At 44.4% G+C, this 20749-nt stretch overlaps 1 protein-coding gene and 1 long non-coding RNA gene across 18 annotated transcripts in view; one reads left to right on the top strand and one right to left on the bottom strand.

Moving 5' to 3' along the window:
* Nucleotides 1–14116: 14116 nt before the first annotated feature.
* On the bottom strand, nucleotides 14117–17265 carry KIRREL3-AS3 (KIRREL3 antisense RNA 3). The gene is made up of 3 exons (NR_040078.1): nucleotides 15851–17265; nucleotides 14988–15148; nucleotides 14117–14308 (listed from the first exon to the last, which is right to left on the bottom strand). It is a non-coding gene; the product is annotated as a KIRREL3 antisense RNA 3 (long non-coding RNA).
* KIRREL3 (kirre like nephrin family adhesion molecule 3) overlaps nucleotides 16781–20749 on the top strand; it is a 580037-nt gene continuing 576068 nt past the window's right edge. For 11 of the 17 annotated variants that reach the window (NM_001441262.1, NM_001441261.1, NM_001301097.2 and 8 more), the window contains exon 1: nucleotides 19405–19720. In NM_001441262.1, the coding sequence (NP_001428191.1) occupies nucleotides 19666–19720 (55 nt within the window). In that variant the 5' untranslated portion in view covers nucleotides 19405–19665. Of the gene's footprint in view, nucleotides 16920–19304; nucleotides 19896–20749 lie in introns of those variants that run through there. The other 6 variants (NM_001441260.1, NM_001441259.1, NM_001441255.1 and 3 more) reach the window with 3 other exon arrangements.

Raw genomic sequence — 20749 nt, 5'->3', positions numbered from 1 at the left:
GGTATGGGTAAATATTCATGATAGAAAGCAAACTAATTTTTCTTTGACCTCAGCCATGTTGAAAATTTTGCATAGGAAAATATTAGGATACATCAATACTGCAGGTAGTTATCTTATTTTCAGTTATTTTCTTAGAGAATTTTTTGGATTTTAAACTTTTCTAAAGTGTACATTTACTTATATGACAATAAATATACATACAAGCATAAGATGACTATATTCTCTTTATATTTTTTGGAAAGTTCATTTTCCATTGAGACTTTGTCTTTTCTTTCTCATGATACTTCTATAAAAATTCCAGTTTCTTTAGAACCAATCAAAATATGCAGAATAATTGGACTCTTCTTTTTTTAAATTTTTATTTGTTTTTTTAATTGACAAAAATTGTATCTAAGGTGTAAAACAGGATGTTTTGAAATATGTTTCCATTGTGGAATGACTGAATTAAGCTAATTAACATATGCATTACTTATCTCACATATTATCATTTTTGTGGTGAGAACGCTTAACATCAATTCTCTTGGCAATTTTTAAGTATACAATGCAACGTTATTAACTATAGTCACAAGGTGTTCAGAATCTTGAGAGCTACTTCTCCAAATGCTCAGCCTACATTTTCACCCCCGTCTCCTCTCTCTGGCTCATGCCTGCCACTCACACACTGGCAAATTGTGTTTACTGTATTTGTGATTGAGCAAATGCCTTTGTGTGTCTGACAACATAGGCATTCAAATTATGAAAACTGTTTATTGTGCTCAGATCAATAGGCCAAACCCACATTTACCTTTTAGCTCAGAAAAAGCTTTCCATGTTCCCCATTAATGGCCTTTTAACATCTGTGCCAATAACCATCAAGCCAGGACTAAATGTCTCAGAGCTTGAGCAGGAAGGTGGGACGGGGGCCACAGGACCAGGTACACCTTCGTCTAACTCGTTAGAGTTTTAAAGATTCAGAAGTCCCAGAGGAAATCTCCCCTTCCAAAATATCCACTCCTCAATGCAGCCACTCGTCCACTCCCTCCTTCCTGCTGAAAACACTGCTGGGGGCCGCCCGTGCCCTTGTCTTGTGTCTGGCACATCACCAAGCCTTTCCAAGGCAGTGCCAGGATCCAGATTACCACCGTGACACAATCTGGGCCCACATCATAGAGGAACAAAGGCTGTAGGGATCCAGGTGACTTTTCCAAAGTCTTGTTCTAACCCTATTACTCACTCAGCGGGCCCAATTGCCATTGTTATTTCTTACCACTCATCCTGGCTTCTGGTCTGAGAAGAACAAGAACAAGCAAAGTTTGCAGAGTGATTTACAATTAACCATGCACTTTCTCAAGAATTCACTCTAGTGGCCACTCCCTACTCCATTACCCTGGGCCCTGGACAAACCACTCCCTCTCCCAGCCACTGTTTTTCATCCATTTTGTGGGGATCATAATAGTCAGAGACCCCATATGGGTATTGGAATATTTGGAAGAGATAACATATTGTGTCCTTAAAAGGGCCACTGTGGCCAGGTGCTGTGGCTCACACCTGTAATCCTAGCACTTGGGGAGGCCAAGGTGGGTGGATCACTTGAGGTTAGGAGTTCAAGACCAGCCTGGCCAACATAGTGAAACCGTGTCTCTACTAAAAATACAAAAATTAGCCAGGTGTGGTGGTGGGTGCCTATAATCCCAGCTACTTGGGAGGCTTAGGCAGGAGAATGCAGTCTGAGTGACAGAGCGAGACTCCGTCTCACAAAAAAAGAAAAAGAAAAAAAAAACCACTGCAGGCATGAGCGTGTGCTGAATTTAATTCCCCATCTTTATTAAAATTTACAGCAAGGAGTGAGGTAGAACTGTTTTCTCACCACCCCATCTCTCACCTCATCTCAATAACAACAAATCATAATAGACTTAACACTATCCATGGTGGCATTGGGGCATGTCTTGCGCTTATAGATTTGAAAAGAAAAGAAAGAAGGGAAAGTCTCAGTTGGACTATAAAACAGTGGGGCGGAGAAGAGCTCAGGGCTGTGTCATGTCTCAGTTCGGCCCAGCCTGGGCACCTTCCACATTTCTCTCTTCCCTCATTCCCTGACTAAATTGCTTTAGGAACTCACCTGCCCCTCTGAAAGTCCAGCCTGGTAGGGTCCAATGCCCCTTGCATGATCCACAATGACTCCTTAGTGTTTCCCTAAAATCCCAGGTGTCCTGTCGTAGCCACAAATTTGCAGACCCACGCATACCTCCAGGTGTTGCCATCTCCTTCTTGCAGGTGTCATCTCAATACGCAAAGACAGCTGCGGAAGACAGGAGGGACTAGGCTCTACTTTCAAAAATGCATGTCACAGTGGAGGTAAGCAGCTAAAGTATTTTTTTCTTTGAAAGATACAGCACTTGTCCCTCCCCACCTCCTATCTTCACACGCTTTGGGGTGACTGACCGATGACTCACTTGTTCATTCTTCCTGGCGATTCCTAAGACTGTGCAGGGCCTATCAGTAAAAATGTTGGAAATCTTGCAGTGCTGAGCAGGACTACGTCCACCTACTGGTGAGAAACAGGAAGAGACCCTCGCAGGAGCCCAGCGAGGGAAGGCTCAGGCCATGCAAGAAACTGTCAAGAAAACCGGGACATGGATCATCAGAATAAAAGAAAACCAGACAAAGAAAGTTATTCTGAAAGGAAAGACAGTGTGTTTGGGGGTAGAATTTGCTTCGAGTTATCATTGCACATGGAAGATTTAAAGGAATTTCTTTCCCAAAAGGCCTGAATTTGAAACATCAGATTCAAATGTATAAAAAACAAGGAAGGTGGAAAAACCCAGTACCACAAAATTGTGGATTTTAGCAAAAAACTGATCGTATTGTCTGCTTAGATTTTTAAAAATTGGACAAACATTGAATGCATCTTTGTTCTTCTGAAAAAGTCTGGCCACCAGGGATAATTTTCAAGCCCGTCTAAAGGACCCGAGCTTCAGTCTCTTGTGTATACTTACCCCAGTTGTTACATACCTACAGCGTGTAGGCAAGGCCCCTTCCCAATCTCCATGCTGCAAGTAGGAGAGAGAGCTATTTTTCCCTATGCATATGTTGATATGCAGGAAGGAGGACAGCACTACTCAGTGCAAGCTGTCCTATTGAAGCCTCGTTTCCTGTCAATCTTCCTTTTTTTTTTCCATGAAGCTTTAATTTTTGGCCACAGCGCTTTCTTCATTTTAGTTTCCTGCAAACCTCAGGAAATAGACTGAAATTAATATCGTCAGATGCTTCCGAAAGTGCTGGCTTGGCGGCATTGCAGAACGCTTTCGGATGCCATTTTGGGATCAAAATATACCAGTTATGCACCATTGTTTGTAAGAGAGATCTGGGAAAGAATTGTGTCTGAGATTGGACCAAATTGAAATGTAGGTTAAAAAAAAAATAGGAATAGAGACCTGAAGTCTCATAATAGGCAAAGTTGGCAGGTAAGCAAACTGAAAGAGCAAGCTAAGAAGAAAACACCTTCAGGGGTCACAGTGGCCTCGCAACGCCTCATCAGTGTGGGAAACTGAGGCAGGGCACCTTTGCTCCTGTTTTCCATATAAACTCTGATGCTTTGAATAAGACATTCATGCCCTAGCACCTCCAGATCTGACTCCAGAGAGAAACATAACGTGTCAAGTGACATAAAAAGAGATAAAGATATTCTTTATTAGAGCATGCACTCTGGAACTATTAATGTGTTGGGGGACAGAGCTCCCAAATCCTAGGTTTTCTCATGTCTCACAGGCCTCAAGGAACACCCAGTCTGGGGTGAGGCTGGCTTAATTCCTAGTGCCAGCTCTGCCCCTGGCTCACCTTCACACTTTGAGCAGATCCCTGCTTCTTCAGATGGCAGTTTCTCCGTCAGGCTAATGGGGAGAGATGACACACACCTCCCTTCTTCACAGTGCAAGGGCATTGCAATGATAAACTTGCAACAATTATATAAACATGCTTGGAGTTCTTCAGGGGAGAAGTGTTAACATGAAGTTATTTTTATTGTCATTGGCTTCTATGTCTATGGCTTCCTAAGAGTGATAAATAAAGCCATGCACAATTTCTACATCTCCAAAAATCTATTCAATACCTTTGTAATATTGAAGAAGACCCAGTCATTTTATATTCTTTGTATTTTATTCACTTTTTGGGTCAGTCAGCCACAACTTCTCCACACAGCACAGCCCCCACCCAATCAATCTGGGAGACCCAGTGATTTCACAACCAACACCTTTGTCTGCATTTCTATGCCCCTGATTCGCGATCTTACCACCTTCTACCTATCCAAGCATAATAACTACATCACTGGCTTTCCTGCTCTGAGCTCTCATCTCTGCAGGCAGCCTCCACATTTCCACTTGCCATCTTCCTAATATGTTGCCCCAGTCAGGAAACCATGGAGCTGGATGATCCTTCAGAGAATTTCTAAGAAAATCCGTATTTTCTAATTGAGGATGCAATTCCCAGAGAAGCTAAGTGAATCACCTTGAGTTACCTGGCTATCCTGGGATAGAGCTGAGCTCAAAGCAGCCAGATCACCTAACACCAGGTCTTTACTTATTATGTCTAGGGATAGAGCTGGACTACAGGTTAAGGCCCCTGACCCCATGTCTGTGCTATTACTTCTTAGGCTTCAGTGGTTCCACATATCCTATACCATAAACTCAAGCACTCAAGCACTGAGCTAGTATATGCAGCTTCATATAGCAGAAATATGACCACAGAGGCTGGAAAAATCGGGCCTTATTTTTCTCACCTAAGAAGTCCAAAGGTAGGCCTTTTGGGATGGATACTGCTGTTATAGGAAGTCATCAGGAACCAGGTTCTTTCTCATTCCTTTCCTGCCCTCCCAATTGTGAACCTTTGCTTCAAGGTCACAGGATGTCTGTTCTGCCTCCAGGCCTTGGTTTTGCATTCTGGATAGGAAGATGGAAAGAGGAAAAAAGAACAAAAGCCATGGGCTATCTGAGTCCCTTTTTATCAGTCATACTACAGCTTTCCCAGAAACCTTACCTAGTAGATGCCTGCATACAGCTTGTAGGTAAGAACTGGGTCACATCATGCTCCTATACCTACCTGCAAGGGTAGCTGGGGAAGTTCAACATTTTAAATGAACATGAGGCCACTCTGAAAGAACATGGATGGTGTTCTGTTAGTAAGGATGAAGCTGGGAATGAATATTGAATGGGCAACCGCAATCTCAGTCCCAAATACCTTAGTGTTGATAGTCAGTATTTTATGGTCCAACCCCAGTAGACTTTTCCAGTCCATTTCTCACCCCCAGTCACTCAGTCTGTACCCCAGCCATTCCAGGGCCATCCACATCTCCCACACATGAGCTGTACCTCTTCATCTTTCTGTTTCTGCCCACCTCCTTGACCCCACTTCTTTAAGACCCAACTGAAATATCACTCTGCTTTCCTTAATATTCACCATAAAGAGTAACCTTCCACTTTTTTATTCTCCCATAATATACTGTATTTATCTGCATTACAACACTAATCACATCTCAGTTTAAATTATAATTTGCTTTGCATGTATCTGTCTCATTCAGCAGAATATAAGCTTCAGAAAAGCAAAGAGCATATCTTGTTTATATCCAGGACAAAGTCTAAAATTTTGTGTGTCCCATAGTAAATTTCCAAGTGTTTATAATTTAAATGATTTTTTTCACTTTGCTTGCATGGTGAATAATGAATCAAAACTCACAGCTCATAACATGGTGTGAATGAAAAGACAGACCTCCCATCTCCCTGGAATAGTCTATCAATGCCCTCCTAGAGGCAGGGGGATGAACCCCACGTGGGTTTCTCTCCCAGCCCATGGAGTCTATGATGGTGTCAACACCCAAAAGAGCAAGACTCTCCAGGTTCAGTGACTGGTACTTTACTCTCCACCCTTCAAGCCCTAAGGACATGAGGGTGACATGGACAACACTTTCTTTGCCCTTTTGATTTAATCCTGAGCCTAATGAAATTCTGCCAAGGTTTCCTTTCCTGAACTGTTTTCATCTGTAGTCTGAATCTCTATTAGGCTGAAATGATGGCTATTCTCTGTATCCACACCCACCATCACACCATCACTACCACCACTGAAATTCATTATCTGACCTTCTCCACTTTGCTCTGTGCCCTGAGGTGCTGATCCTGTGGAATTCGCTCAGCCATCAGTCACAAAGTGAGATGGGAATACAGGAGGAGGGGGAGGCAGGAGTATTTCTCCCGCTGCTCCCTTCCTGCTTCAGTGCAGAGTTATGCCATTGGCTGCATCCTGTCCCTCTAGGACTATAGCTCCTGACAGGTGGCCCTTCCCCAATGGCCACAGTCTCAACAGGCTCCAATAACACTCGTTCCTCCCTCACTACTCCAGGGCTTACTATTGTTCCTCGTCCCTGAGTGCCTCAACACCCACTCTAACCCCGCCCACACCTCTATAAAGAGTCACCTTATGAAATGTTATTCAGAATCTCATCTGAGCACACCTTATTTTATGCCAGGAATCAGACTGACATGGCCACCGAGGCTTTTGCTCCAGACTTGCGTTAAACCCTTCCACATGATGAGAATCATTCCAAATTTTTAAACTGGCTCCATAAGCACATACCCTATGCTGGTTTCCAGAGAAGCCCTGAGTAGTGATTTTCTTGTGTTCTCCCAGGACTGAGTGAATCATCACCAAAGACTTGATTGTTCCTACAACTGCATCAAAAAGTCTTGTACATTTAGGAATCTCCTTCTCCGATACAAAAATAACAGCTCTCCTGCATAATTTTATTGCTTATGTTTTGGAAGATGGGGAGGGGGATAGTAGATAAGGACCCAGTGGATGACAATGTATCTGATTCATTGGGTTTGAAACCAAATAAATTTAAGAATGCTTCCTCAAAGACCATCTCACTCCAGAGTAGAATAATTTGAGTATAGAAAGTTTACCTAGTAAACATCAGATGATCATACCATAAACTCAGAATAAACCCTTTTCTGCCTTGTTTGTGTGCTCCTGGGACCTCCAACCCCTCCATAAGAAGAGCATCTTAAAACTCCTTCCTTCCTTATTTCCTTCCCTCTTCCTTTCCTTCCTCACTCCTTCCTTCCTTGCTTCCTTTCTTCTTCCTTCCTTCCTCTCTCCATCCCTCCCTCCTTCCTCCCTTTCTTCCGTTATTTTGTCAGTAAAGGGTCAGTAATGGGCGGCATACCATTAAAGTACTTGCACATTTTTGCAGGTAGATAATGACCAACAAATGTGGGCTTGATCATGATTGGTTTGAGGTCAGGATTGCCTTACTCCCTGAGGCCAGCTGATCATTGTTTACCTAAAAGTTTCAAGAATTAATGTTTGGTCTCTTTGCATTCCCTACATTTGGGCGAGGCTGGAGACTCATTGTGGCTCATGTTATTTCGGCACCCTCACCTTTTCCCTTCTGCCCCCTTTCCCTGACCTGAACAGCAATTACTGCTTTACTGGGAGGCTGGATCAGATGTGGATGGATGAAAGAAGCAAGTCTACCCTGGGAAAGCAGAGCACAAAAGGAAATGAAGACTTCAATTTCTGTTTCCTTCAGGCATATTTAAGCAGGCTATCATTAGAAAAACCTGCGAGATATGCTAAATTTGAAGAAGATGTAATTGCAGAATAATACATAATATTTCTGATTCTATTTATGCATGTGCATGTAGAAACTCCTTCTTATATATGAATTCAAATACATAACAAAAGACTAGGAAGGTCCACACCAAACTGCTGATAATGGTTACCCCTGGGAGTAGATTTGGAATGAGGGTGAGTGAAAGACATTTTTTTCAGTATTCACATTCGGTATTCTTTTGTAATCATTGATTTTTTCAAAATGAGATTGTCTTTTTTAGTTTTTGCTTACATAAGTAATATATGGATTCTATCACCAGTAGTGAATTTTTTAACAATTTTTTAAGTATTTTCTTTCCCTTATGTTCTAAAAGGAAGGACCAAATTATTCAAAAAGAAAGTTTTAAAAATTAAGATTTCTTCATTTGAAACACATCCTCTGTCATTTTGGGGTGTCATTGTGCTTCCTGATCATGATTTAAAATAGATAGTAGTGAATCATCTTCCATAGCAAGTTTGACTCAGTCAAGTAAAAATGGTTCAAAGGAAATCAAAATTAGGAATTAATCTTCTCCTCTATCACCACAATGATGCTTCTCCCATGGGGTTTTAATGCTTGTGTTTTGGAAGATGAAACATGAAATGGAGAACTATGGGGCAGTGGGTATCGGGGTCTTTAATTTAACCGGGACTAATGTCAGATTTGAATCCTGTTTCTTTCTGCTCTGAGGCCCTTGGTGAAATGCTTCTGTCCAAACACAGAAAATGCTTCCTTTTCAGAATATCTGTGTCACTGGATCACTTTTAGTTTCCCTTAAAAGCTTATACTGTTGTACTTTATAGCTCACCGGACTATAACAGATTCCTTGAGGACAGAATGGATATCTTTTTCATCTCTGTGTTGCAAGTGCCTATATGAAGCGCCTTACACAAAGTGGGTGCTCGAGAAATATTTGTGGCATGAACATTTGAGTGAATCAATAAATGGCTGGCTGAATCCAACAATCAGTGCCTCTGTGTTGGGTCTTCAACTGCGTTGGAAGGTACTTGAAGTCAGAGGACTATACGTCTTGAAACTTCTGCATCCCCTACAGTGCTTTGAGAAAGTAAAAATTCAACAAATGTTTGTTGATCAATTTCCCTATTTTAACAGATGATAAAATATGTTCACAGAGATTTATATTTTGATTTGTTTACCAGCCTACTGACAAGCAAGCCAGGGAGAGAAGCATTCTTTCCCTCATTTTGTAGATAATTCAAATTCAGATGAGGCACAGAAAGGTAAGATGTTTGACAAATGCAGGGAAGGGAGATTCACCTCCTGAACATTTCAGGTTACTCTCTGGCGACCTTTCTGGCCCCCTCAAGAGCCTAGTGTTTTCTGACTATGTGCCTTTTCCTTTCCCATGGGGAGCAGGCCAAAGCTCAGTAGAGGGTCCATTGCTTGGTGATCTCAGAATTTCAGGTAGTTAAAGTGGAAAGTGGCACTTCTTAATTAGGCAGTAATAGCATAATTATTTGAAAGTGCCTTATAATTACATGCCTCCTCTCCAAGCTCCTTAGCTGCCTTGACTGGGATCTCAAGTTCCTGTCCCCTGCCAGTCCCATGTCAACACAATGCCTGGGCCAGGCATTTACCAGAGATGGTTGTGTCTTAATGAGGGAGAAACACTCCAATGGATTCTCTCTCAAAAACTCAGAACTCATGGTCTATCATTGCTACCACACAGAAAGCTCTAGTTCAAATCATCTTACACACTGGCCAGATCAATGAGATGGGAAGTTGAGAGATCACTGTGGAGCAATTTAATCCAGGTGCCTCTGGAATATTTATTACAAAGGGACTCAATGACCTCATTAAACCATCCCAAGGATTCCCCTTGATGTCATGTGCAGTTCTTCGTTATTTCTAACTTCCCGTCCCATGAAAAATGGGCTTTCTATTGGTTTAGACTTAAAAGGAAAGAAAAATCACCATCACTCTCCAGCACAGAAAATCTTTCTACATTTTTCCTTCCTCTTGAGGTGGAATGTAGCTCCAAACTGACAGCCTCTGAGCAAGCAACATACCCAAATATCAGGGCAGATTGCAAAAGCAATCAGCTCAGGGGAAAAGCAAGGGAGCTGTCGGTCAGTAGCATCCATCTCCCATTTTCAAACATGGCTGACTGGATGAACACCTCTTCTCAAGAAAGGAAGGACCAAGGGAGTCATTAATGAAAGCAAGAAACTCAGCTTTACATCTCATTCAAAAGATGGATTCACTGCCCTCCTCCCGATCCAGGTGGGTGAGTTAGTTTAGTGTGGAATTTGTCTGCCCTCACTGAAAACTCCAGTTAGGCAATGAATTATTCCAAGTAAATTAAGGGTATTGATCCCCTCCCCTTTCTGACACTTCGCAGATATTGCTATCAAATCATGCTCCGTGCAAGTGTCAGTTTTTGCCACAGACATCTGAAGAAGAGAACAAATATTCTCTTGAGTTTCTCAGAGTGTAGTAAGTACTTGTGGAGTATAATAGGACATGAGCAGACCAGGGAGTGACATATGCCTGTGATGAGCCTAACTGGCTACCTTGTAATCTCTGCACACTCAGCTTATGAGAAGAGGGTCACTGGTTTACCCCTGGGTTCTTCAGGTAAGATTAGGTCAAGGTCATGGGTTGCATTTTACCTTTAACCACTTTTTATACAAATGCAAATGGATCAGAATGAAGATCAGGCAGAAGAGTATAGATAAAGATTGTGAATCTATCACAGTTCTGGGGAAACAATCAGATCACATACTCTATGCGTAGCAGATAGTGCAATACTTTTATAAATGGTAAGGAGTCAGTCTCGTTCAAGGTGAAGGCATACATTATTTTGCCAGGGTCTCAGTTGAGGACTTGCTTCTTGTGGGTTCATTTTTCTTCCCCATTGTTATGGACTGGATGTTTGTGTTCCCCCCAATTGCATGTGTTGAAATCCTAAACCCCAGTGGGATGGTATTAGGAAGTGGAGCCTTTGGGAGGTAAATAGGTCATAAGGGCAGAGCCTTACAAATAGGATTAGTGCCCTTATGAGAACAGACAGGAGAGCTTCCTCTCTCTTCTCTCTGCAGCATGAGGATACAGATGGCCACCTGCAAACCAGGAAGCCCTCACCAGACAGTGGATCTGCAGGCACTTTGATCTCGGACTTCCAGCCTCCAGCACACTAAGAAATAAATTTCTGTTGTTTAAGCCACCCAGTCCATGATATTCCATTGTAGCAGCCTGAACAGACTAAGACTCTCAGATTCATCTTTTAATAATGATCAAACTCATCATTTTTAAAATAATAAATTCTTAATCCTCCAAAAAAGAGGTCCTTTTTCACTATTATCCAGTTGAACTGTCTTTTTTGACCCAAAACTACCATATTAAGGCTGTTGAGTATTCTAAGGATGAATGGTCTAAGGATAAATCAGATATCTGACAACCGTATACTATGAAGTATTATTTCCATCCATATTAAAGCCCTTATCGCATGTGGAAATATTACGAATGAAAGGATATGATATCTGAGTTTGCTTCAGAATAATCCAGTGAGACAGAAGGAAGCAGGGAAGATAGATAGAACAGTATTTGCCATAGCTTGGTTATTGTTGGTGTCAAGTGATGGCCCATGGTGGTTCTAATAACATTGATTCTCAAATGTAATATGCATCAGAATTATCTAGGAGTTTTGTTAGAAAACAGGTATCTGGGCCCCACCTCAGAGGTTTTGATTCAGGAGGTCCCAGGGTGGTGCCTAAAAATTTGCAATTCTCAGGGGATGTGATGCTGTTGGCCCAGGGACCCCTTGTTGGGAACCACTGTATTATTCTATATCCTCTATTTTTATACGATAAAAAACCAATTTTGTTGTGCCAGTAAGAGCTAGCACAACAAAACAAAATGAAGGAGGAGTCTCTGCCTCTGCCTGCTCCCAATCTCAGGCAGACAGCAGCTGAAGAAGACAAAGAAGAGACGCAGACCTCAGAAAAACACTGAACCATCAACTCAATTCAAATTGGACTCAGTGTGGAAAAAATTAATGTTGGCTTTCCTCATTTACTTTGAACCTATGTCTGCATACTTGTTATACAGTATGATAGCTTCTCAACTGATTTGGGATTGTGCCATTAAGAAATATGAATAAGCCGGGTTTCTTGTTTGTTTGTTGTTGTTGTTTTAATGCAAGAGCTAGAGTTAGGCTCTTGTATAAATCTTGTGATTTATACACACTGATGGCACCACTACCCACATTTGCCTGAACGTGGGTCAGGTTCAAAATGTATAGTCAGAAATCTTTCTCTCCAGTCCTTCAGCTGCATATCCAGAAGATGGATATGAAATTTCCTAGATCTAGTTTGATCTAAAGGCATCAGCTGATGAAGAAAGAAAAGTTCAAGCTTGGGATTGGATGGTCACAGGAAGGACATCAGGAGTTTTTGCTGAATTTTTCTTTATTTAAACACCATTAGCAAGCAATTACCATACGCCAGGCATTGGCCCATATATACTCTAAAACAGGCAAAAATAAATTCTGAAAGGTGGTCCTTGGCCTTAAAAATCTCATCTCTAGTTTGGAAGGTAAACATGTAAATAAATAGTTAGCATATTGACAGTTCTATAATAAGAGTTTATAAGAATACTGTGGAAACCTAGATGAATAGGCAATTCATTTTTGACTGAGCGGAGGAAGAGGTGAAGTGAACTTCTCATGGATGACATTCCAGCTGATTCTCGAGCAATTAGTACCTATTTACTAGGCAAAAAGACACAGGAAAGGAGAAAGACACACCAGGATGAGGAAACAAGTATAAGAAAGGTATGGAAGAGTAACAGTGTCTGCTGTCTCTAATCAATAAAGAGGAATTTGGCAAGACCGAGGTTCAGGCTATGAAGGAGGGAACTGGCAATAGGACAGGAAAGCTATGTTGCTTTGACACTCCCTATATATCATGATAACAAGTTTATGCTCTATCTTGGTGACTACTATGAACTGAATCGTATCCTCCTAAAAGTCATAGGTTAAAGCCCTAACCTCCAATGTGACTGTATTTGGAGCTAGGGCTTTTAGGAGGCGATTAAGGTTAAATGTGGTCATATGGGGGGGGGGGGTCCTAATCCAATAGGACTGGTCTGCTTATGAGAAGAGGAGGACAGACAGATGTCTCACATTTGAGGACAGGCCATGTGAGGACACAGCGAGAAAGCAGCCATCCACAAGCCAGGAAGAGAACCTTCACTAAAACCTGGCCATGCTGGCATCCTGATCTTAGACTCCCAGCCTCCAGAACTGTGAGAACATGAATTTCTGTTATTTAAGCCATCCGCCTATGATATTCTGTTATGGCAGTATGAGCAGATCAGGGCAGAAACCATCCACATTTTTAAGCAAGGGCATGATATTACAGAACTGCATTTGGAATGCACTTATGTGGTAGAACAGTAGGTTAGGCAGTGGAGAGGGTCTTTGTTAGTCTGCAGACTAGGCAGTGAGTTGAGGATGCTGTAAGTTCAGGTAGAGATGATGAAAATCTGGTCTAGGGCTGAGTAATTTGGAATATTTGGGTAGGAGGCACATTGATTGCTAGCATGGTAATAGAAAAGTTTTTTGGGTGTGTATGTAAAGTTTTGTATATATATGAACTTATATAACTTTGCATGTTACATATATTACTTAAATCTAATATGCTTATATATAATTTTATTATATAAAGATGGGAAGGAAAAAGGAATACTGTATGTAATAAATAAAAAGAAAAGTAAAACTCGTCATCTAAGAAGAAAGCCTAAAGGAACATTGAGTGAGATCTTTCACTCCCTTGGCTGCTATAAAAGTTTACTAATTTATAACATAGGTAGGGGGTATGGGGGATGGCTCAGGGGAGGGGCATGAAAAAGAAGAATGGAGGAAAAGAATAAATGCAGTATAATTTCTAAGACTTTGAATATCACAAATGAGTCATGTAACTGGAATTTCACTTTGTCTTCCAATAATTTCCACATAATTAGCCTATTCATATCCACAAAAAGAGCACATGGTATATTCCAAAATGACACACAACCTGTTTCAAACCCTGAAGAATGAAGCTGAAGCTTGCCTTTGGTGCCATCCCCAGAGCTTGTCGGAAGGTCCTGGCCTACGCACCCAGCCAGCAATGACACAAGGCATGGAGCACTGCCATCTCCTTTCATAATATTTCTTATATCTTTTCTTCCCTGTAAATTACACATTCTTCAGGTCTTTGCTGAGATAGAGAATGCAGCTCCCATGTGAATTGAGTATCCAGTGCCCTGCATGCATGAGCGTGTCAAGGCTAAACAGGTCTATTGTTCTTAAACAGCGCTGCTGGAGAATTGTATCCTTGTGCAGAATGATGCTGAAGAGATAAAAATATCTTTCATTTCTTTAGTGCCATGCCTCTTAAAGTGTGTTTCCACATTTTGCAAACTATATATAGGCTCAATTCATTACCCATCCTCATAAAATACAGCCAGAGCAGTGGCAGGCACATGCCAGATGTTTGACAATGGTTTAATAACAGAGGGAAGAATAAGTTAAATTGGATTCAGAAAACAGGAAATAGAATGTGGGGCACTAGGTAAAACTTTACCATTCATTCAGCAGTACGTAGTGAGAGCCTACTGCCTACCTGGGTAAGAGCTGTGGAGACGGCTGTGAACTAGAGGGGCGCTGTCCCCACCTTCATAGGGCTGCCAGGGTATCAGAGAAAATACAGGATTAAACAATTTTTACTGTAAAGTGTGATTCACATTAAGACAGAAGACGTACAAGGCATCCTTGTCCTCGCTCCCTTTAAAGGAAGTCTTTTCCAGTTAGCCACTCCGGCATCACCACTCCCTTACTTTAATAAAATGTTTGCATTTTGCATCCAACATGGTTGTAGATGCATGTTGAAGGAAGTCTGTTCTAGAACCCAGAACCAAGGCTGGATGTGGGGTCTGGTTCTGGGGAAACAAGGAGATAAGGGAAAGACAATGAGTTCAGTAAGTTGGGGAAAGACTGAGGGCACTCAGACTGAGTAGAATGAACACAAAGCAGTTTGAGGAAAGGTCAGAACCAATGACAGTGGAGAGGCCCACACAGATCTCAGGGTTGTCACTTGCTCACTTGTTTTTTTGGGGATAGTGACCCACCACTCGAAATAATCTGCCCTAACACTGATGGCATTAAAGAGCATTTCCATTTGACTCCATGATGAAAGGTGTGGCCTCTGGAACAGAAGACAATGTGATTTTAGGATTCTGAAGAATCCTGGAGATCCACTGGCTCAAACACATCATTTAATAGATGAAGAAAGGTGTGCCCAGGTTCATTAAGGGGCCACATTGGTTAGCAGTGGCCAGGCCAGCGCCACATCAAAAGGCTCACCAGACTCCCTCCATGAGGCCTGATCCTCAATGAATCAGGGGAGCAGACAACCTGCCCTTCAGGGGATGCTTCTGAAAGTTGAATATCTGGTTCTCTGAGCCCTTTCCCTCTGCAATGGAAAGACCAACTGCAGGGAGCAGGGTTAAGGTCTCGTAATCCACCTACACAGAAGTAAGCAAGAAATCTGGTTCAGATAAATGAAAAAGAAATAGGCTAGAAGACTGTGACTGCCCAGGTCATAAAGGCTGCCACCCAGCGAGGACCTCTGACGACCATCTGGTCTCTGGAAGTGTACGTAGCTTGGAGTCCTTATTAACTTACCTACGACTGGAGAGTCAGGTTACCCTGAACTCCCAGTAGGAGGCTGTTCAAAATGTGTTAAATCCCTGGACAAAAGAGGTTTAACCAGTACTGGCAGGATATATGAAAAACAAAAAGGGAATGCGGTTTCTAATGTATCTCTGCAACAAATACTGTGAAGAGGCATTAAACAGGCAATTCTCTGTACATGATGACTGCCCATCTCTTAAAAGAGCCGCTCCCTCTTCTTGGTGATAATGGTGTCTCATGAACACAGAATAGCTGTGACTGTGAGCCTGGCCAGCATGGCAGTGGGGAAGATGGAGAAGGATAGGACAGTGGGGACACTGGGCCCAGGTGGGAGCCCTAGACTGTTGCCTGGGCCCAGGTGGGGGCCCTAGACTGTTGCCTCATCCTGCAGCTTTCCTGCAGGGCCCCAAGCAAGCTAACCTAGAAGGATGCATCTCTAATGGAAAGGAAGAGCCCAGACAGATGCCATCCAGGGCAATTTCTCTTATTAAAATGTCAGTGAGATGTTTTATAATATTTTCCCACATACAGACCTGTATATACCTCTTTCCAACTAGAGGACAAACTTTCCAGGAACAGGAATTCTCATAGTTATTCCACATGTCTTTAAGTATCCAAAACAGGCCTTTGAACAAACCGAGGGAATAACACATGATAGACATTGGGCTGACAGCCACGAGGAAGGTCAGGAGAAAGTGGCGGTGAGCTGAGGTCTGCAGTGTGCCCAAACGCCAGCCTGCTCCGAGCACTCGACAGCCGTACCCCTCACTCCTGCACCGGGACCCAGAACCTTGCACATCACTCTCTTCGTCCCAGATCTCAGAAAACCCTGGGGGCAACACGCAGCAAGGCTTGGAAGAGCAGGAGAGCAGGGCTTGGACGCTTTCCGGGGGAGCCTTGCCCTCCTGTCACTTCTTGGCCAGCCAGCAGCAGAACCTGGGGCCGGCCGGCATCCTCTGTAGGCTCCCGCCTCCGCGAGGGTCTGGGTCACCCAGCTCCGGCTCGCCCCGCTGGCGGAGGTGGGGGGCGGGCCAGGGGCTCACAGGACCCAGCACTTGGCACCGGAGGCTTGGGGAGGGGGCTGGGGACTGATGGATTCGGCCTCCGGACTCCACGCCTGGCGAAGAAACGCTGGAGAGGATGCCACCTGCTGGCATCCCGCCGGCTTGCACGGTGGGCACAAGAGACCTGGAGCCAGCCTGGATGTGCAGAAACCCAGAATTCGGGCGGTTTTCCAAGTTGCTGGCTTTCGGCTGTCTCTGTAGGGCTGCCGCCTCCACCGACTGTCCAGAGACCCCTTCCCCCGCGCGCCGCCCCCGGACGCGAAGGCTTCCAGCAGGGGCGGCGGTCTCTCTCCTCTCCCCTCTTGCAGCGCACTCCGAGGTCTAGGGACTCTCCGCGCTTCTCCATCAGGTGGAGCCGTCGGCTCCTCGCCGCCTCCCTCCTCCTCCCTCCCCCGGAGCGAACCGCGCGCAGGCAGCCTTGCAGCGCCAGGAGGCTAACCGAGCCCCCGGAGGAGGTGAGGCCGCGGGCAGCCGGGCGGAGATGGCGGGGCCGCCGTCGAGGCTGGCGCCAGAGCCCGACCGGCTGTGGGTCCTGCAGGTACTGCTCGCGTTCTCTGCCCCACGTGGTGGCTGCTGAAGATTGCCGTGGGTTTTCCGGCACTCAGGCTTGATACGCCTCCTGGTCCTTTTAGAGGCGGGCAGCTCATCACTTAATCCAAGCTTTTTTTTTTTTCTTTCTTTCTGCGGGAGACCGGAGGTTACAGGGAGGGAGTAGAGGGGAGTGGAGAGGGGAACAGGCCCAGCTGGCTCGTTGGTGGGGGTGAGGGGGATGCCTGGAGCCAGTAAGGGGGCCATGAGGCCAGTGTTGGGGGCCAATGGGAGAGCGAAACAAGATCCTTCCAACCTGGATCTCCCAGGCCCCCCTCTTCTTTCCAAGAGTCAGTGCGAGTGTGGAGTGCAGACACCTGTACGTGTGCCTGATTATTGCGTATTGCACACTTCACTAGCCTTGTGACCCTGGTTTTGTAATAGTTCCCTCGGGGGCTGAATTAAGCAAATCTGGGCCCTGGGCCATTGAGGAATTAGCACTCAAAATTAAACAACAGCTTAAAGGATAAATCTTTAGTTAAAACGTCAAATGTTGCTACCTTTGATAGAGAATCTGCATTCTAGTATTTGTCCTATTCCCTGCAAGAATGGCACGCAGACACCTGAAATTTCTCCCCAACAACCCCATAGGCTTAATGCAAAGCTACTACTAAGGTGACGGCGCTATACATAGAGTTATTTTCAGTCTTACTGTGTTATTTGGCATATGTTATTTAAAATTATTTTTCATCTCCTCTGTGTGTTTTTGATTTGCCTCTTCCATTTATTGCATGATCTGTTACACCAGGCTAATGGACTCAGGCTCAGCTGACACTGCTTCAGTAACTTGTTTGTTAATTTAGCTAATGGGCTGCCTCTTTTGTGTCCTTTTAGTTTCTGTTGCTCAACATTTCTGTTTCTCCTCCCAAAGTTTGCTTACAAATTTCCCTTTGCTGTGTTTAACAGCCTCTAAGGGATGCAGTTAAATAAACTATTAAGTTAAGAATAGAAAAGTCAACAAAGCAGACACCTACTAATTTGTAGATCTTTGGTGTCAACTACCAGATGTCAGCTCCTACTAGCACACTTCTATATGCCCCTGCTTCTTTCTTTCTTGTTCACAAATACCAAGGGATAATTTTTTAAAGTTAACATCCGCATGGAAACTTGGAGTTGGAATGTGCCTTGTAGTGAGCAGAGTCCTCAAAAGATGTGCTACTACTGAAAGAGGAAAGGCTAAGAGTTTCCCAAAAGACCTCCCCAAGGTCCAGGGACTGAAGACAGTAATGACTGATTTTAGAATTGAATGCTAAATGGCACATGTCAGGGGAGCGTCTTTCATTTTCCTCTCCTCTCTCTTTACCTCTCCTTCTCACAGTGCATAACGTTGAATATTTTTCTGTGTTGTTTTGTTATGTCCTTAGAGTTTGCATCTTGTGTGTGTACTCTGCTTGCACACTAGATTATGAGCTTCTGAAGGCATGGTCTGTGCCTATTATTTTGCTTCCCTCCATGGCCTGCTTATACCAAGCATGCCTAAATGTCTATTAAGTAAATAGACCCAGATAAATTCATGTTGATATCCTGGAGGAAACCGAGTTTGATTTGAGTGTGGAGTGTGAATTTCATGACAGGTAAAAGGCTTGAAGATCCTTAGGACGCAGTTGTCTATGACCTTGGCCTCTCCTTTGCAATTGGACTCACAGCACCTCTTGGAGAAAAGACAGGCTCAGAGTGATGGAGCGCTCATTAGAGGAGAGGCTCTGAATGCAAAGACAGGCTGCTCCCCTGTCCTCGTTAGGAAATGCACAAACCAGGATAATGATAATAAATGGGTGTGTGTCACAAGCCTACTTGCCTTCCCTTTAGTTCCTGCATTTTGTCTTCCAGGAGCAGTGCAAAGCAAACTAAGATCCAAATGTTCAGGTTTTATTACCTACCCCCCCCCCCCACCACAACCACCCACCCACCCACAGGAAACTCTCAGAAATGCAAAGCATGCTTATCTCTTCTCCAACTCCGAGCCTCCCGCTGCACACATTGGCCAAGTCCTTCCGAGGGAAAGATGCGCACCCCCCCTTCCTAGTTCCCTTTCAGCCCAGTTTCCAGTTCCTTTGCAAAGGCAGGGCGTGCATGTTTTTGTGCACATGCATGTGGATAGTCATCCTTAACTTCACTGTTAAACAGGACATCGTGTGGACAAAAAGTCACAGCTCCACTCCAAGCTCAAGATGCCTTTTGGTCAATAATGGTGACAAAAGCTGAATTTTTCCCTATTTAGGGAAAAGAAAGAACACAGCCTTTTCCCCCACTGTCCGTTTTGCATAGATCTCCTTTTTCCGAGTGTTTCCTCTTTAATTATGACCTGTCTCCCCTCCCTCTCCCCTCGCCTCAGCTTCAGTGAAAGGAGTCCTTCTGTCACTCGTCACTAGCTCGCTCGCTCACTGTGGGAGGAGCCCGCCTGAGGAAGCCGTGTGCCTGGGATGCCAAGAGCCAGAGAATGGATCTTCTCCGAGTGGGGACATTGCTGACAATCCCGGCTTCCCGAGGCGGCTAAGAACAGGCAGTTTGTGTCGGCTGGCTGCAGATACCCAGAGGCACAAAGAGACCGAAGCCACCCGGAGGGACCCACGGACGGACAGATGGTAGGCGCGAACCCGAGAGGACCGGCGGAGGCTGAGCACCGAGAGCCGCCAAGGAAGAGAAACTAACCACAGCCAAGTTACCCCGCCGGCTTTCCTTCGCTGCGCTAAGGAATGAAACCCTTCCAGCTCGATCTGCTCTTCGTCTGCTTCTTCCTCTTCAGTCAAGGTAGGACCCCTGCGCTGCTGGAGTTGGAAGAAAGTCGGCTGGGTTGTCAGGGCGCGGGAGGCTGTGGGCAGGAACGTGGGCAGGCTTCGGGAACTCGGACTGATGGATGCGTCTCTCGGTGCCGGGCTGAGATGCTCTGGCATTGCCTCTTCGCCTTTGCGAATGCAACAAAATGGTACTGTTTATTTTCCTTTGGAAAGAAGGGGTATGGGAGGGGAGGGGAATGACTTTCTCCTCTCACTTGTCAATATCCAGCTCAAACTCTCCAATGCAAATGAGTTCTTTATGCTTCTGGTATGTTAATTAGGTAGTATCTCTGTGGTTATGCCGCTCTGAACTTCTGGGCACCTCCTCTCCTTCAGACCCAGGCCAGGGAAGGAGACGGCAGGGAGGGAGAGCTTGGTTTAGGTGGATATTTCAGCTTGAATAGGGTTTGACTTGCACAAGTGTATTCAAAAGCGAATGTGTGTGGTTTGCACCGTTGAAAAGGGGGTTGCAATTACAGAATGTATTGTGGGGGGTAATTTGCAGTGGTTGGGAAAAGCTTGTAAAGAGTTTCATTGAACGTCATCGAGTTCCCTAAATTAGGTTGAATTCTGAATCCTACACAGCACTGAATTCAGGGTATAAAATGAAATTTCGCCCGTGGTGCTGATGGTTTCCTTTCTGCAGCCTAGCAGGGGCAGAGAAGCAGGTGGACTCTCCGGAAAGAACTTTGCCACCTCTAGGCTCCTTGCCACTGGGAGCCCTGGGGCTGGTAGTGGTGCAGAAAGGAGAGGGAAATTCGGGAGAGGGAATGTGAGTGCCTAGTTGGCCAAAGGCATCAAAAGTCACCTGTGGAATTGAGTTTGGAGGGGCAAGTACATGGGCTCCTTCCCGCTCTTTTGGAATGCCAATGCACCTCTGCCATCTGAGGCTGCATTTGTGCCAGCCAACACAGCTCTTAGAGGTGCAAGACTCAGAAAAAATCCACAACAGAGCACGTCCATCTGTTGATTAAATGAAGGGTAAAAGTTTTCGAGAAAGCAA

This window comes from Homo sapiens, chromosome 11, assembly GCF_000001405.40.
Source record: "Homo sapiens chromosome 11, GRCh38.p14 Primary Assembly".
NCBI classification, from domain to species: Eukaryota; Metazoa; Chordata; class Mammalia; order Primates; family Hominidae; genus Homo; species Homo sapiens.
This window is presented reverse-complemented; position numbering and strand designations above follow the sequence as displayed.